Below are 19,353 nucleotides of genomic sequence, written 5' to 3'. Positions count from 1 at the left end.
ATCTGAGAGTTGTAGATTCTCCATAAATGTCTGCCGTCTTGCACTTCAGTAAAAATGCTGCACAAGGTGCCTGAAAATTGTGCCAGCCCTTCGGTATCAGGGTGGTATTGGTCTAAAATTGCCTCATGGTAGAATAGGACTGGCAAGCTCAGAGAAAGGTTAATTCCTCCCCCCCACATTTACTTATCTTCCTGTTATCTTTGAATATATAGTCAGATGGATTTCAAGTCCTAGCCTCTCTAAGATATTCTAGAAAGAATTAACTGAAAGGTGATTTTTGGTCCTTACTTAGCCCATTCATTAAGTGGAAGGGCACCCCTGAGAACAGTGTGGTGGTGACAGAAGTCATTGAAATGGGACATGTCTAAATGAAAAGATAAACTGAGAGGTACAGGGTTAGAAGCTGGAAACAACCGGGAAAATTGACCTCCACTGGAATATTTATCCAGAGTCTAGTTCCAAAGCTAAAATGCAAAGGTTCTTGGATTTCTTCTATTAAGAACAGTAATAATGTCTTGCTTGCCTAATCTCATTTGATAATTTCTCCTTTCTCCGGGCTTAATGCATCCCTCACATATTTATATGCTCTGGCTTATATATCTTTATTTCTTGTAAATTTAGTTTCTCAACACCTACATATGTTCCTTGAAGGTGATGGGTATGTCTTTTATTTCTTTTATGTCATCCTTTCTGCCCAGTGCTTAGCACAGTGCAAGGCACCTGTTGCCCAATAATTATAAACAATTGACTCACTTGTATTGTATAGAACATCCATCCTGATTCTAGGGAGACTCAAGGTGGCAAATACATTAGATTGTATAGAACTCTCTGAGGTCATTAAGATCTTGGCAAGTGTGAGGGTGGCACAAAAGTTCATCGATAATTTTCCTTAAAATGCATGTTCAACTGGGGCTATCATATTCCCTGCAAAGCTGGCTTAAAGCTAATAATACCACCATCTGCTTTTATGTAGCTCTTTGCAATTTGGAGCTTCATTAATAATACATTACTCATTTTAGTGTCACTAAACCCTGTACACTGGTCAGGGTAAAGCCCTTTTCTCAAATGAGAAAATTGGAGTGCACAGAGATAAAGGACTATATGCACATTTACAAAATTATTGAGTGGCAGAACCACTCACAAAAGGCAGAAGCAAGCCTTTTTTCATCCAAAGGTAGAGTACTTCCCATTCCTCTGCACTGCTTAGTAGACTATTTTTCAACATGGTAAAACTCTCTGGGACAAGAGGAACCTGAAGATGTGGCCCCTTAACAAGAGATGTGGAGAAATTAGGAAAGGACATGCTTTCTTAATTCAAATTACAATGTATCACAAATTCATTTATCCAAAATGGTTTTCTAACCTGGACTTTACCTGGGCAACATTCTAATAATCTCCTTCCAGAGTATGGGAAAAGAAACCGAATCTGAGAAGGGGATAAGAATACTCCCTATTCAGTCAAAAGAAAGGGTTAAAATGTGATTGTTTAAAGATTTAAGGTGGAGAAGAGAGTCTTGAATTATCTAAATGTAAAAAAACTAGGGTAAAAGGCTGGATTTCCTTCGGAATGTCTTTTTCAGCTTATAGGGGAAAAGTTAAAGGGTGTGTGTCTGGGGGGAAGGGTTAGGGAGGGGAAAATAGAACCCTTTTCTTCTAACAGCCTTTCTTAAAAAATAAAAGAAAAGAGAAACAAATGTTTGTTTCTGTTATTAAGCCCCATCTATGCTTAAAAGTTAAATGAAATAGGGAAAGTTCAGGCACAGAGACGCGTGTTCTGATTTGGTTGTTTACCATCAATCAGACCGTTGCTTGGCAGACACTGGATGGTTATGAGCCTGAACAAGCTGAAAAGGGGCAGGAAAAGAAGTGGAGGCAGCATTCTTCCTATTTAAAGCTGCATCGCTTGAAAAAAGTTTTCGCAGACTGTGCTGGAGCTGGTGCTGAAAAAGGGGGTTTGCAGAGGCTGCCCTGGGGCTGGTGCTGAAAGAAGAGCCCACAGCTGACTTCATGGTGCTACAATAACCTCAGAATCTACTTTTCACTCTCAGGAGAACCCACATGTCTAATATTTAGACATGATGGCAAACTGGGCGGAAGCAAGACCTCTCCTCATTCTTATTGTTTTATTAGGGCAATTTGTCTCAATAAAAGCCCAGGAAGAAGACGAGGATGGTGAGTTTGCCATTTGCTTTGCTTGTAGTGTTTATTGCACGGTTTGGGAAATAGGTGGAATGTTAAGCCTCAGGAAGAGCGTGAAGAGGAGGTTCTGGTTTGAAGTTTGAGAAGGGGGCTGACGGATTTGCACCTGGAAAACGACTTGAAAGACAATTGGGATGTTTGTAAATCCGGAGCTTCTAGATCCACCGTTGGAGAGAGTACACTACTAAATTTTTCTGGGAAAGCCTACAATAAGTCCTTTTGGCTGAGTGTGAGAGTGGGACGTTTAAAATAAGAAAAGAGTGAATGCTTAAAACGGAGCACTAAAGGCATTTTAGTTAGAGGAGCTCTGTTCTGTGGGCTGGAGTTTTCAGAGCAAGGAAAAGTCGCGGCAGAAGCTGGGTAGGGTGGAGTCTTTTTGTACTGAACTTCAGCTGCTTCATAAAATTCTTTGTTTAGTAAAACCTCTGCAGCAACTCTGATAGCTTTGATTTTTCTTTGTCTTTGGCTCCTCATTCTTTCCTCTTTAACAATTTAAACTTCTTTTTACCATTTTCATTTGTGAAAATGTGATCACTTTTGCTTACTGGGAGGCAGTCTCGTTTGTTTCTCCATGACAGAGGCTGATAGAAGCCAGATTTCTTAAACAGTGGTATTTTCCCACCCTACTGGCTTGATTAACAGGACAGTGGTGGTTCCCGGTTGGATGGCGGAAGGCAGGAAATCAGCATGTCTTGTATATATCTTATTTGGCATGGAATATTTGCATGGACATTACCCCTTAGACCCAAGCTTTTTTTTTTTTTTTTTTTTAAAGATAAATCTTGCCTGGTGACCACATTTTTTTCCTATGCAATTTTCATATGTTACAGTTGGGTTATATGGTATGGTTAAGCAAAAATGCATAGCTGTTGTAGTATATAAGAAAATATTTAAATTGATTCCTCTATTAAATCTTTAATCTTGAGGGTTGCAATTTCAAATACAGACATGTACTCCTTTAAAATAAGCCACTGTAGATTTTCATCAACTCAACCATGTAACATCAAACTCAAGCTTTTAAAACTTTGGACATTCATTAACCTTTTCTATTACTTTCATATATAGACACATACATACAGGTATATATGTATATATACTATGTATATATCTATATTTTTAGAACAAATATCTGCTTCTGTGTGTTTTTGGTTTCAAAAAGTTTATAAAATTAATCTAGAGATCAGAAGTTCTAAAAAGCTTAAAAAGTGAAAATACGAATTTGTAAATGAATATCCAACAATCTGTCAGGAGTCCCATAGAGGGGGCACTTTCTAAGACTTGGAGCTTTTTATGTTACGTTTTATGTTTTTAAAATATGAGGTAATTTATAAAAGGTGAAAACTTTTGAGTTTCTTTGTAATGGCATGAAAAGCATGTGTTGTTTGGAAGGGTGGCAAAAATAATTGAATAGAAAGTAGAAGAAAACAGGAGGAGAAAAACACAGAAAAATTACAATAGAAATTGAAAATTTGACTCTAGAAAGAACAGTTTACTCCCCTCCCCCACCAAAACAACCAACTTTAATTTAAAACCTTTAATACCACTTTCTTTGTTAATTTATGTTAAAATGAATAAAGTACTTTAATAAAGTATGGAAATAATTGAATATGTGAATAAATGAAAGGACTGTTTCACAAGGTACATGAAATAAGCCATATTTTAAAAGACATTCCCAAATAGTTATAATTACTCTGTAGGTGTTTTTGAAAAATGAGCAGATAATTTTTCTTAATAGTAATTGACATAAATGTAAGGAATGTGATGCTTGATGCAAAAAAGTCCCCAACTCCAATCCAACCCCAGTACCCCCCGCGAACAGTATAACCAAATAGCACAGAAAATGGAATTCCAAACATCAAATTTTACAGAATGTGTAATTGCTTGCATATGTGTTGTAAAAAATTCCAGTATTTTATTTCTCAACTTAAGAGAATATAAGTGATAAAAATTCAACAGCAAAAGAAAGTCGTCATTGCCCTAATCAAACATAATAGAGAAAATAATTCCAGAGTATAGTATATTCAGAGCTGCTTAACTTATATTGTACTTACTTACTATGCATATTTTGGTTTAAGTTGATATTGTATGGATACTTGGCAATACTTTCTTTTTCCTGTTCAGGCCTATCACAAGCTTAATAAAGGTGTCATAATTTAGAAACTCCATTTGATTTTGAGTTTGGGGAAGAGTAAGCTTAGATCGATGCTTTAAATTAAAGAAATATCTGAGGCACACATGAAAAGCAAGTACATTTTTCAAATTTTATCTATAACAGTCACATAATGTGATATTTACATTTTGTACAAATATGTCTTCTTGGAAATGTGGAGATCTGTTTTTGCATGTAAGTGCATATTAATAAGTTTTTATTTTTTTCTTTCTTTTTATGACTTCAGGGTATATTTCCCTTTACTTGACTGTGGTTATTTACCAGAAATGTAAAATGTAATCTGAGTATGCCTGCCTGATAGAAACATATGAATGAGAAGATAAAAGTAAATAAATAAAGTTTTAGGCATTTTAAGCCAAAATCAGTTCCATTCTCACTGAGTTTTAAGAACTGATTTGATTTTCTAAATTTATAAGAAACTGAAAGGAGAAAGTTTGGGAGTTGGGCTGACTTTAGTTAAAACTAACGTAACAAAAATTAGGGAGTTAAAATGAAAAAAATCAGCTTTTAAAGAGTTTGTGTGGGTGTATGTGTGTGTGTGAAAAATCAGGGAGTTAAAATGACAAAATCAGCTTTTAAAGAGTGTGTGTGCGTGTGTGTGTGCGTGTGGTGAGAGTGTGTGTGCATTGGGGTGGTGGTCTTCAAAAGATTCCACATTTGTGTTAAGGAAAATGCTAGAGCATTTACAGTGTATTTATATTCCTAAGTTAATGCCTAGCATCTAGTGAGCTATATATATTCTTGTTATTAGAAGTAGGCATGCTTAATTTTAGAAAATAATCTTTGTTATGAATCATTGTATTCAACATGGGATAAGCAATGGAGAAGGGAAGGTGCAGAAATGTATCATTTTGTTTCCAAATACTGTAAACCTCAATGCTTTCAGAGGCCAGGCAGGTAATATAAACAAGTGAAGCAAGCCAGTGTTTGTACATCAATAGGTGATGATGGGGCCTGTGGAGAACTGAAGGTGCATGTCCACTTTAAGGCATTCAGAATTAACATTTTCAGAAGATATTGCATATGACAAATAAAATATATCTGAGTATATATTTGGCTCCCGGCCCATGAATTTACAGCCATCATGTTGCAATCCTACACTGATATCCTCCTGGACCCAAGCTAACTTTTGATTACTGAGAGATGAGGGGCTCACAGTCTTATATGTCATGGTCTCTTGCATTTTTATGATATGTCTGCCATTTATCTCATTGTTACGATACAAAAATCAGGAAGCAGATATTTAACACTCAGTAGTATTTGGATGACATCATTTTAAAGGAGGTACAGAATATGTATAAATATGTATACATAGCTTAAGATGCATGTTAACTCATAAATTGTTTTAAACTCATTACTGTTGAAATACATGCTATGAAACATGTAGGACATTCAGACTTTTATAGTGGGTACATGTAGCAGAACACAGTAGTTTAAACAAACAAAAAAAGGTTTTCTGGCCAGGCGCAGTGGCTCATGCCTGTAATCCCAGCACTTTGGGAGGCCGAGGTGGGCGGATCACCTGAGGTCAGGAGTTCGAGACCAGCCCGGCCAATATGGCAAAACTCCGTCCCTACCCAAAATACAAAAATTAGGTAGGCGTGGTGGCACAAAAATTAGGTAGGCGTGGTCCCAGCTACTCAGGAGACTGAGGCACGAGAGTTGCTAGAACCCGGGAGGCGGAGGTTGCAGTGAGCTGAGACCGTGCCACTGCACTCCAGTCTGGGTGACAGAGTGAGACTCTGTCTAAAAAAAAAAAAAAAAAAGTTTTCTTTTTTAAATATAAAGAAATGCTTTTAAGCAGGTAGTGAAAGGCTGGCATATTGGCTCCACAAAGTCATCAGGGACTGAGGTTTTTTCTACCTCTCCTGGCTCCCATATCTCTAGGTATTTTTTTTTAAATTTATTTTTATGGTCCTAAATGGCTGCTGAAGCTCCAGCCATTGCGTGTACTTTCTAGGCATGTGGATAGAGGATGGAAAACAAAAACTGTGAGCCATTCCCCACCCTGCCCCCTTTTATGAAGACTTTAAAGTCTTCATAACATTTAAACTTACTTACAGTTGGCCGGAATTTAGTCATATGGTCACACAAAACTTCAAGAGGGGCTAGGAAATGTAGCCCTTACCTGGGTGGTGCTGGCAATATACTCTACTGAATTGAGTTCTGCTATGAAGGATAAAAGGAAGCACCACTATTAGGAGTTTTATGGTCCCTACCTCAGTGAGCAAAAAGGTCAGCTACTTTTAGTGGCCTAGATCTTACGGTTTCAATGGACAAAATATAGTTGTGTGACTAGATCCACTTTGGTTATTGTTCATTACTGAGTAGACTGTGAAGCCAAGAAGACTGAATGGCACATAAATATTAGGCTACATTTTCTTTGCTTCTTGTCTTTAGATAAATTTTGACACCTATAACTTCTATTCAAACTAAACTGAAGCTTTAGTTTGAAGAGTATATCTCTTTCTACATATGTACATTGGTAGATTCATAGATTTAGTGAATTTTTAATATTGACTAACACAATGTATACTTGGACCATGACTCGTAGGGTCATTGGTAAGCAAGCCACAGATCAGTGTTGATAAAAAATGGTATAAAGAATCACCTAAGATCTTGTGACTAATATAGATTCTAGACCCCTCTACTTTCCAAATATCTAGGAAGTTTGGATGGGGTCTGGGCATCTGTATGTTTTTAGAGCTCTCCAGTTGACTCTGATTTACATTGGTGAACCACTGTATTAAATCTTTGACTGACACTCTGAATCTTGTTGTGGACCTGTTGGCTTTTATGTTCCGAGGCTACACATTAAGATTTTGGTAATAACTTGCTATTCTAGTTATTCATTTTACTTATAAGGCTGCTTAGTTGAAGTTTGTAGGTAAACCATTGCAAAGTCACCATCACTTCTGGAAAAATAACTCAAGGCCCAAATACCCCTCATGGTGGATTAGGCGAATCATTCTACTATGCAGAAGACACATGCCATTTGCATGTGTTTCCAGGTGAATGCATGTTTTTCATTTTCAATATTTCCTCTCTCTTACTTTCTGCTCTTCACACTTTGAGCACTATCGCTACAGGCCTGAAATTCATTGTGTTCATCATTCTAGACAGGTACCTAATGCAGGATGTGAGGCAAAAGCAGAAAGAGGAAGCTTTGTTTTAAGAAGCTGGAAATTAGAAGATTGGAATCGTGTTAATCTATGGCCACAGAATGTAGTTTTTAAAAATCATACAGTTTTCTCTGGTTTGAAGAATGATTAATGCATCATCACCTGGCCTTACATGGCATTCTTAAAATGTATGGACATGGATCAACTGATCTTTAATCGGATTTTCTTCTCTGAGATCACAACATTGAAAAGCTTAGATTTATACATTAGAGATATAGTAAGGGTGGGGGAAAAGACTGGAAGTGTTGATTATTAATTGATCTATTGTATAAATTTGGGCAAGTTACACAAGTTTATATAAGACAAATCTTGGAATTATATAAAGATATTCCTTGATTTAATATTTTTTATTATTTATATCCATGAAACTATAATTTTCACTAAAAATGTAGCACGAGACAGTATCAACTTACTGATAAATATGAAGTCTTTGAACTTTTCTTATATCTAAAAGTCACAGCTTGAGTAGGCTTTTGGAGTCTGAATGAAATTATCAGGAAGATACTGATAATCTAGTTTTCTTAAATTTATCTCCATATAAAGTTCATATATATTTATCTAAATTTTACGTAAGATGAATGAGCTGTGATATTCAATATTTAAAAGACTATTTACTCTTGGCATTTGCATGGGAAGTACTCTATCCTATGGAAAATTTTGCTTTAAAGGTGTGACCATATTGGCAACCTTAAGGTTTTTATTTCATTTTATCAATGTTTTAAAAACTAAACCCTTCAAATAAATCAAGGTGGCTTCATCTTATACTAAAATATTCACTAAGAAACAATGTATAAGGGAAATTACAATAAAGCAAGATTATTCCTATCTAAATCTTGCCTTCTACAGAGAAGATAGAGGCTGGGTGTGTGGCTCACTCCTGTAATCTCAGCAGTTTGGGAGGCTGAGGTGGGCGGATCACCTGAGGTCAGGATTTTGAGACCAGCCTGGCCATCATGGTGAAACCCTGTCTCTACTAAAAATACAAAAAAATTTATCTGGGTATGGTGGTGGGCACTTGTAATTCAAGCTACTCGGGAGGCTGAGGCAGGAGAATCGCTTGAACCTGGGAGGGGGAGGCTGCAGTGAGCAGAGATCATGCCACTGCACTCCAGCCTAGGCAACAAAACGAGACTCCGTCTCAAAAAAAAAAAAAAAAAAAAGAAGAGGAAAAATGTTAACAATATTAATTAATATTAATTAATTAATCAAACTTTGTTCCTATAGCCTTCTGGTGTTATGTTCAAACTCAAAAATGTTTACATGCTTTTTTTTTTTAAGTTTAGGATTAAGAAGGAGGAAAGACAGTCTCACAGTTTTGTACCCCTTTTTACCTTTTATTTGAGATGCCCAATCAGAATTGTGAATTCAGCTTTAAGATGACAGCAAACTATATTATTGGTGGAAACACTACTTGCAACGTAAGCATCATAGCCTCGTTGTAGTCTATGTAGTATAACAAGTATAATAAAGCTTGGTCCAGCCATCATGTGAGAGAACAGCTGGGTTCTGGTCCTCGTTCTATTTAGCAGTTTTGCTACCTGCAGAGGGTCCTTAACCTCACTGGGAATTTGTGTCCTCATCTGAAATATTGAGGAAATAGTATGCACCTTTGTCATCTGATGGGATTCTTAGGAGGACCATTTAAGAAATTTACTTAAAAGTAATTTTAGAGTACTTAAATGAGACACGGAAAGTGACATTACAATCTACTTCACTGACCACAGATATAAACCCTAGTGGTGTATTTTTAAATTGCTTTCACCAAATCTTTGAATTGTTTTGAAGCACCTCCTGGACTTGTTCTTTTGTGTTTTATTTGTTCTCCATCTCCCTGAGGAACTTGTTCCATCAGTCATGCTCTCTTTTCTATAACTTCAGCCACTTCCTTTCTATCTGCTCTTTCCCTTTAGCTTGTAAACAAGTTCAGCTCTCTCCCACAGCCTGTGTCTAGCTCCCACCCAGTCTTTATTCTTAGCCCAGCTGCTTTAAAAGGAGCAGTGCAGTTTTCTGTCTCTGCCTCCTATGCCCTCACTTGGCCTCTCTTTCCACTTAAGCTGGTCTAGCATGGTGAGGATTAAAATGTGTGATATTCCAAGGGTCCCTTTTCATCTTATCTTATCAGGCCTTTCTCCTTTATTGGAGACCATTGACCACTCCAGCTTTCCTAAAATGCTACTCTCTGAAGGTTCTTCCTCCACCTCCCTGACCTTTCCCTCTCAGCTTCATCCATGGGCTCCTTCTTCTCTTTTCCTGTAGCATTTTGCTTTTCTTACAAGATTTAGTTCATTGGTTCTCTCTGGATATTCTCTTCCTAGGCCACCTAGAATTAAGGGTTTTGTTTAACAGCTGAATGCTGATAATTATAACATCTCTTCAACCCCAATCTTTCACATGAACTTTAGATAAATAAATATATTCAGCTGTCCCAAAGGCAGCCTAGAACCACATGAAATTCAGTGTATCCAAAACTTAATTTATTGGCTTCCCTTCAAGACTTGGTCATTTTGCTTATGTAGTCCCCCTTATGCCAGTTAATGGCAACATGATGCTACCCGGTCATTCAGTCAGTCATTCAATCAGCACAATTCCAATCGTTCACTAAGATCTACCATTTTACCTGCTAAATGTTTCTCAAGTGTACCTCTTCTCCATCCCTACTACAAATGCCTCAGTTTAGGCCCTCATCATCTATCCCTCAGTTACTGTGATAGCATCTAAATTCATCTCCTTGCCTCTCATGTATCTGCTTTCCAACAAACACATATATTGGTGCCTTCTGTTGCTAGTGTGATATAAAACTATCTAATTTTGTATTTACCTTCCTTAACAACTTTCATTGGGTCCTGTAACTTGTAGAAAGAATAAGGTTCAAGCTTCTTAGTGTGACATACAAGATCCTGCTGATCTAGCCCATTTCTGAGTTTTAGTCGCATCAACTGTCATTCTCAGCCTCAAAATAAGGAATTGCTTGAGGCTGCCACCCCCAACACACACAGACACACACAAACTCTCTCTCTCACTCTCTCTCTATCCCCTTTCATTCTCTACTGTCCAGATTCCACCCAGAACTGACATTCTCTCATTAGTTGAGCTAAGTGCTCCTCTGGCCATCTCACAACAGTCAGTACACCTCTGCCATGCAGGAACAATACCATACTGAGAATGCTTTCTTTCCATGAATCCGTTTTACACATTCCCACCAGATTAGGCTAAGTCCCACTTTTATAATGTCACTCTCCAGTGACATTATAATTTATTAACATTATTTATTAATTATTAATATAATTTATTAACATTAACAATTTATTCCAAGCTGCCATTGACTGTTGCATCACACTTAACACATTATACTGACCTTACTTCTGTGTGACTTTTTTTTTTACCTAAGAGTGCCAAGAGTATCCAGCTGCCTTGCAAGACTGCTCATGTTCTCCTCCACTGTATCTAAACAAATACTATGATTTCCATTATTGTCCTTAACACTACTGATTGCAGCACACCATGCAGCATCCTTTCTCACTTCAGATCTAACTTTTTACTGTTCCCACATCTAACTTTTGCGATTTAGGTACTTCAGTGCTTCTCTTTTTATCTTCCCTCTGCCTATTGATGTTTTCCTCCAAGTTCTGCTTCAAATCTTATATCCTCTAAGAAACTAAGAGATTCTTATCTGCAATAAATATCCCCTTTCCTTTCAAGGGATGGTCCTTATGTTGCAAGTGTGTTTGTGCTAACCAAGAATAAGTTTCCTGGGAGATAGGGACTATGTCATGAAGTCATTTTATATTTTAGATCCACCCATGCATAAATGCCAATTGAGTACTATTTGTGAAAATCTAGAAAAATTTTTTCCACAATTCGTTCACTCAAGTATGAGTGATCCGAATTCAAATTTAGGTTTTGGAAATTGTATTTCCATATTCTCGGGCAATTTTTTTTATTTCTCTGTGTTACAGTTTCTTCATCTATCAAATTGGAATGATACTTCAAATAATTATGATGAATACTATCTATCTATCTAACACCTACATGATAGCAGTGACTCCCAACTAATAATAGGAACTCATTAATATGGCAGATGATTATTATTAGATTACTATTTAATAATAACAGGCCAGGTGTGGTGGCTCACGCCTGTAATCCCAGCACTTTCAGAGGCCGAGCTGGGTAGATCACCTGAGGTCAGGAGTTTGAGAACAGCCTGACCAACATGGTGAAAACCCATCTCTGCTAAAAATACAAAATTAGCTGGGCATGGTGGCACATGCCTGTAATCCCAGCTCCCAGCTACTCGGGAAGCTGAGGCAGGAGAATTGCTTGAACCCGGGAGGCGAGGTTGCAGTGAGCTGAGATCGCGCCATTGCGCTCCAGCCTGGGCAACAAGAGCAAAAATCCGTCTCAAAAAAATTATTATTTAATAATAATAGAGATAATAAATGCTTATTGGGTGATTATGAGAACCAAGATGTTAGATATTACAGAGAAATAAAGAAACAACTTTTGCTCTCAGAGAGATTAAGCCTAGCATAAAAATTTTAAAATGCAATTTTTATATTTTATTCTACTATGATCATTTTGGTAATATATCAGTGATTTTATCTGTGTGTTAATAAGCTTTTAAAACCCATTTAAAATTTTTACTGTTCAAATAAAAAGGCCATATTGTATTATTTCCTTTTGTAGGTTTACTAATACAAAAAAAGAAAGAAAGAAAAACAAAAGGCATTTCCCAATGGAGAGTTTCTAATGGCCCCATGATCTGAAGCATCACTGCCCCTCCCCTGTTTCGCAGCCCCACATACATTTACTTTGTGCTGGTTCCCAGTGTGTGAGCAAGCCAAGCATGATCCACTCCATGCCCCAGTGCCACCTCATGCCTGTCTACCATCCCTGTCTGCTTCAGAGTTTAGTTTGTGAAACTATGATAATCATAGAAGTCTCTATTAAAAACTGGAAACCTGTTTTCCACTCTGCATTGCTCTGAGTTGCATTTGGAATGAGAGGCATTGCTTCACTGCACAGGGATTTACAAAGCAGCTCCCAGGACTATTCGGATACAGTAGTAGGGGTGACCATCTTTTCCCAGACTCTGTAGCAAGTCTCTTCACTTTCCAAAAGCTGTTAATTTACCTCACTCCCTTCACTCCCAGGAGATTTTTATGAAATTGACTCCAGAAAGCAGAAACTGGTGTGGGATATTGGCACATTTTTCATACTCACACTTTCCTTACTTTGCTGCACTGTTCTTTCTTTGTAGGTTTTCAAATTCATAATAAAAAATGATGGGTTTAACTTGGAAGGAGAGATGCAGGTGGAATTTTACCAGATAATTTGTAGCTATGAAATTCTTTAATTAAATTTTTGATATTCAATATGGTTGTTCTGTGGTCATCAACTTTAAATTTTTTTTATTATGGAATTCTGAAAATATGGATGGTTCCCATAGCAAATACAATTTATTTATAGAGATTTAATATTTTCATTTAGCTTTCATAGTAATAGGCTTATTTGCTCTTGAGGTAGAAGAACCTCTCAGATTCATTTATGCTAGTTTGGAAGTATTTTAAAGCTTTTTTTTTCTCATTCTTTCGTTCTCAGATTTTTATATTAAATAAATGGAAAGTTACAGTTTAATTCAGGGCACTATGGTTTTCATGTTGTGATGAAGTTTCAGCCAGAATTTTTGGTGAAGTGGATTGGACAGTGAGGTTAACTGACTACCATGGAAAGATTAACTGCAAAGTTCCTAGTTTTCTGATCTTTGGCTACAAACATAAAACTTCTGAGGTTTCAGCAAAAAGGGCTATATTTGCTTTGAGAGGACAGAGGGCACTGACCATTCCATGTTAAGCGAGAGATTCTGTTGTAAGAATTAAAAAAAAAAAAAAAAACCCGGGCACAGTGGCTCACGCCTATAATCCCAGCACTTTGGGAGGCCAAGACGGGCGGATCACGAAGTCAGAAGATCGACACCATCCTGGCTAACACAGTGAAACCCCCGTCTCTACTAAAAATACAAAAAATTTAGCCAGGCGTGGTGGTGGGCGCCTGTAGTCCCAGCTACTCGGGAGGCTGAGGCAGGAGAATGGTGTGAACCTGGGAGGCGGAGCTTGCGGTGAGCCGAGATGGCGCCACTGCACTCCAGCCTGGGTGACAGCGAGAGTCCGTCTCAAAAAAAAAAAAATAGGAGTTTGTACTGGGAAAAAAGAGACTTGAGGCTGATGAATGAAGAGCAACTGCAAATTCTATCAGGGAGCTGGTGTTCAAGCCTTTAAGGTGCTACAGTGTTATGCCCTTCTAGGTGTTATTTTGTGAAACTATGATAGTCATAGAAGTCTCTATTAAAAACTGGAAACCTGTTTTCCACTCTGCATTGCTCTGGGTTGCATTTGGAATGAGAGGCATTGCTTCACTGCACAGGGATTTACAAAGCAGCTCCCAGGACTAAAAAAAAAAAAAAAAAATCACTTCTTTCTTCAATCCTTCCCTATTTTTCCTTAAGTTTTGATAATTGTTGATGAGATTAGGCAAGTTTTTTATTTGTGGCTTTTGTTGTTCTCTCTTAAGCATAGTGTAGCTGAACTGAATTTTGCTTAGACACAACTCATAGGTTTATAAACCAATGGAGTTCTCATTAGCCTAGAAATATTTCCTTATACAGTACTTAGAATCATTTTTGTTTGTTTGTTTTAAAAAATGGAGTGGGGGAGTGTATTCTGTTATGTAAAGGATGACAACAAATTGAATTAGAATTAGTTCTATAAAGATAAATCAGTGAATAGGCTCTAAGTTTCACTGTGGGTGTTTGTGTTGGGGCATAGGAAGGATGACATAATAAAATAGAATTGGTAAGTTTTAGTATATTCAGCATATAAATACATCTTGTAAAGTTGCCAAGTGTCCCGCTCACCTGAGCTACCTTGTGCCTCTTGACTTTCCTTGGGTGCAACATTTGCTAAAGTCCTAGGAGTAAGAGCAGGTCCAGTTCTAAGAAAAAAATTTTGAATACCTGGCTTATTTTTAGTTTTTAAGGGAAATATGCTTTCATTCACCTTTCTGTCTGAAGGAAAGGCATTTTTCAGGATTGGGAGGCCATCCTTGCCTTTCCAGTGTTTTGCACTAAGCTCCATCTGGATGTCTTTTTCCCAGATTTTCTTTCAAATTTCAGACTTTTCCTTCCAGCCTGACCTCTTATCACAATTTACCTGTTTGGCATTCTTTTCTTTCCGAGCCTCATGGGGAGCTAATATAGTCCAGATGCCCTATAGTTAGCGTCCTAGGACACAGATTTAATGATATTATGCTCTTGTCATACAAGCTTGTTATATGGTAATTTGCCTTTTAAGATCTTTTTCTCAATATTTTCTCGCCACGAGAATCAACTGACATACTGGCTCTGGGTAAAAGCCCCAGTATCCCAGATGGACTCCGTGGCTCACACTACAGACGAATAAAATTCAGCTGTCATAGACACTCTACTTGCCCACGGAGGGTTCCACAATCCAAATGTTAAAATTACTTCAAGTCTTTTCTAATAGAAACTGAAAGCTGTCTGGTTATAATCAAAATGGAAATTTGCCAGCCAGATTCCTACTGTTTCTGAAGAGGGATTTTGAGTTTCTTCAGGATAGAACCCTAAAATTGCCCCATGGTATATGCCCAAAGTGACCTAACTTGGCCAGCTGAATTTCAGGGAGATGCTTTCCAAGATGACAATTTCACTGGAATAATTTCAGAATAGGTAGTTCTCTGCCCATAATGTCCCTTTCCTGTCTTAGGTGATTTAAAAAAAAAAAAATTCAACCTGTCTTTCTTCTCTTCAAAAGCAAGTTTCAAGTCACACCTGGGTAGAACCTTATGCCTCTATGGAGACTGCAGGATGTGGAAGACAGGAGAGAGGGTATGGAGAGCAGCAAGAGCCTGGGAAGAAGGGCTCTCCAAGAGTATATAAGTGATACCAATGGACAGGTGGCTCACATAGCATCATTGAAATGCCTAAAATGTAAGGCTCCATGCTAATTTAGTATGACCATATCTAAGTGATGTCTTGGGGGATTTATTTAGTGAATTTCAAAAAATTTGGAAAAGTAGATGACATCTCTCAACATATGTTCTTTGACTCTTCTATTTTTTACCCTATTTTTTAAACATAGTCATTTTAGAATAAATAAATAGATAAATAAATAAACTGTGTCACAATACTATATTCTTTCGGCTAAAAGCACATATTCCGTCAACTAGGCCTACAGGCAGTAGGAGTAGGACACTGACTCAGCAATGAGTTTTTGTTTTAAATTGTTATTTTGGGAGCTTCCCAAGAGTTCCTGTTACCATTTTTCTACATATAGAGCTTTTTACAGTTAGCACTTCTTTTCCATTTACTTTCAATACACAGTTAACAAAAGAAGGGTCTTTGGATTCACATCTTTGGGTCCAGACTTTGCCGTTTGCTAACCTTGTGACCTTGAACAAGTTCCTGATCTTCTTTAAGATTCAGTTTCCTCTCCTCGTCTGCATATTGAGGAGTTAAATTAAAATGCATGGCCTTAATGGGCACTGAAGAAATGTGGATGTTATTAGTACTTTTAGAATGGATTCCCTGATTGGCTCATTACAGACTTTTCCTCCAATAACTAAAACAATTTTTATCAGATTATTCCCAGTTACTAGGTTTGATAGGAGGAAGGATAAGGGAGCAGTGAATCCTAGGCACCTGGGACAAAATTGGGGAGGGAGTGGAAGAGGAAAAACTATAACTGGGAGATTTGAAATGACAATAGTAAATTTTCATTTACTATGTATTTATATTTATAATTATTTTTACTTATCTCATGTTTTTCCCTTTGGGCAGGTTTGTGCTTAGCTCTTGATTATTTACAAAGCATTTCAGGAAAAGCAAACCAGCAAAACCCCCAAAAATTATCCTTTGGTATTAGAATGCATTTGGCAAATTAAGTGGTACATATACACATTTAATTTAATTCTTTCTTTCTAATATAAAGTTTTTGGCAATTGTTTGCACATTTGCCTTTGGTAGAGTTGTTTGAGAAAAGTGGAAATATGCTTAAGATATGAAACATCTGTTTATTTTAATGATATTTTACTGATGTCAAGACAGACTTATTTGAGCCCTGGGGCAGTATTTTTGTGAGGGATGGCATGCACCTTGCCTGAGCAGTCAATGAAGAGAAAGCAGCTGTTTGAGCTTGCTCAACTTCTACTAACTCAACGTGGATAGAGTCCAGATAGCAACTGGCCCTGTGTCAGATGACTGCAATAAAGCTCTCTTTCCTTATAAATTCTTTATAAACATGATGTGTTGGGGTCTTAATTTTCTCATTTACAAAACAGAGATAATACTTTATATTTTTCTACCTTATTGGTTCAAAAGAAAGAGTTCATAATTTCTGTAGAAATTCTTAGTCAGCTGTAAAACCCTATTACATAAGCATATATTATATTACATAAAGGTGTTATTATTTAGCATGCTTTTACTGTAATGAACAGTTAGCTAAATGCAAAATAAAATTCTTCTCTGAAGTAAACAATAATAATAATAATCAAAAGGAATATAAGACTCTCCATAGAAATAAAAGAAGGTAAAGTTGTATTTTTTCAAAATCATATTTAAATCTTTTATTTAGCAAAATAAAATAGACTGCTTATATAACTATCTAGAACATCTCCCAAAGCCCCAGAATAGGAATTAAATAGTAAAAAAAAAAATAAGAATAGAGGCTTTGACTTGAGGAAAAACAGAACAGATAGAAAAACAAAATGTGATTTTTCTGCTATAACTGGACTGTAGTCTCTCTACAAGTGAAATGTAGCTTCCTGGCAGAAGCCTGAATCACTATTATTATTACTTTTTCTTTATTCATCTCGCATCAGGAAGCTTGTCTCAAATTCAAAGTTAAACGCTAAAAGCCTGTTTGTAGCATGGTATCCCTTTTCTCTGGGTCAGAAGGTGACTGAGAGCTAGAAGTTTAAACTGGTGACAAATATCCACAGGCATCTGAGCCAAACGTTTAGAAAAAAGTCCTATCATCCCTCAGGCCTGTCTACATTCTGGTATTTTAAGACTCTCTACTTGTGTAGAGAGAAACATGCAGTTAAAGATATGAGGGCCTTGACTAAACAGGCTGTTACTTTCATGAATGAATTGTTGAAATAATTTGAAAGAAAAGCTTCTAAATTAAAACTGGACCAGGACACAGGAAATCTGCATCATAATTGCAGCTCTGTCATGGACTAACTTGGTGATTTTGTGGAAGTGACTTAAATTCTCTGGACCTCAGTTACTTCTGTTGCAAAACCTGTGATACATTACCCAGAGCTACTGTCTGCTTTGAAAGCCTGTGACTATAGAATATTTAGATAAAGGTACTTCACTTAAGTCATATTTGTGCTGTAATACAGTGGAAAGTCTCACCTACACATTTTGGTAACTCGAAGCATCACACATAATCTCTATGGTAATACATTTCTGTACTTGTGAGTTTGCATTTGAAGTTTAGATCAATTCAGATTTGTAGTTATGTCCCTAAATATGGTTTATTTAAGGAGCACAGCTCCCAATTTATAACTTGTAAATTGATCTGCTTTTCAGTGAGTGACTCTACAATAAAGTTCCTAGATGCTGTTATAAAAGATGATTGTAAAAAAAATTCAAAATAATCTGATATCAAATTTTTCATATTAACTGAATTTTCCAATTAGAGAGAAAATATGTAAATGCATCATGTGTTGTGTTATGCTGTTTAGCCACAGACTCAGTGTTCTCTAAATGTTTTTGGTGAGAAGGGATGTCAGAGTTTAGCAGCGTGCCTTCTTGCCCTGATGCTGGCGGATTCATCTTTGCAATGCTTATTTTTTCCAACAATCCTTGAACATACCAAACTGCTATTTCATTCAGAATAAGAATAAGAATAATAATGAGGAAAAGAAGGAGAACAATGGGACAGGTGGAGAAGGAGCAGAATAATGGGGCGAGAGAGAAGGTGAATTATTATTATTATTATTAAATGGTTGTGGGCTTTTACCTGAGGAGTAGATCATATTTGTTCTTGATTCCTTATTTTTTGCCTCTTCTTGACTTCTTATTTTTCTTGGCAATCATGTTTGATGGGAGATACATAAGTGTTTACTATGAATATTTAGAAAATTTGATTTATTCCATTGATATTCCTTGAGCACAGAATTTTTTTGGAATATGCTGCTTGCCCTCCTTTATCTTCTGGGAAAATGGGACTCCATTTTTGTGTTTGTTCCCCCATTTCCCTCCTTCACTAGTACTGACTGAGTCCTGCAAACATTTATCTTCTCAAGTCCTGCTAGAATTCCTCTCCCAGGGATTCTGGGCAGAAAACAAGCCTCTTTTTTACATCTTTACAAGTAGTGTGTGTGTGGAATTCAAGTGCATGAAACATTCAGATTAAAAATCTGATAATATTTTAGAAATTCCAGTATACCCACAAATACTCACATGTATGTTTAAATCAGGGATTCCAGTAGGAGAAAACTGTTAGATTCTAGCTTAATGTACTCCTCAATAAATGAGGTATACTTTGGTCATCGTAAAGCACTTGCTAATAATTTACTACTTTGGGGGATTTAAATCCCATTCTATCTTCAGAAGTCATTATTAAAGTGTTATCAGTAACATTAGAATTTGCTTTGGATGATTCTGACAAATTCAACGTTTTATTAAACAAAATGATGCTCTGGTCTCAAATGATGGAGATTTCAACTTGCTTTTCTCTACAGAGGAGTATATCCCCCACCATGCAAGTTATGAGGCAT

The 19,353-nt window shown here is 36.8% G+C and overlaps 1 protein-coding gene across 4 annotated transcripts in view; it reads left to right on the top strand.

Moving 5' to 3' along the window:
* Positions 1-19,353, top strand: part of COL5A2 (collagen type V alpha 2 chain) — a 409,214-nt gene that overhangs the window by 259,432 nt on the left and 130,429 nt on the right. Inside the window, exon 1 of one of the 4 annotated variants that reach the window (NM_000393.5) lies at positions 1,919-2,172. The exons of the other annotated variants lie outside the window; for them this stretch is intronic. Within the exon in view, the coding sequence (NP_000384.2) occupies positions 2,076-2,172 (97 nt within the window). The 5' untranslated portion in view covers positions 1,919-2,075. Of the gene's footprint in view, positions 1-1,918; positions 2,173-19,353 lie in introns of those variants that run through there. 4 annotated transcript variants of the gene reach the window in all.

This window comes from Homo sapiens, chromosome 2, assembly GCF_000001405.40.
Source record: "Homo sapiens chromosome 2, GRCh38.p14 Primary Assembly".
Lineage (NCBI taxonomy): Eukaryota > Metazoa > Chordata > Mammalia > Primates > Hominidae > Homo > Homo sapiens.
Note: the sequence above shows the minus strand (reverse complement) of the source record. Positions and strands in the feature narration are given on the sequence as shown.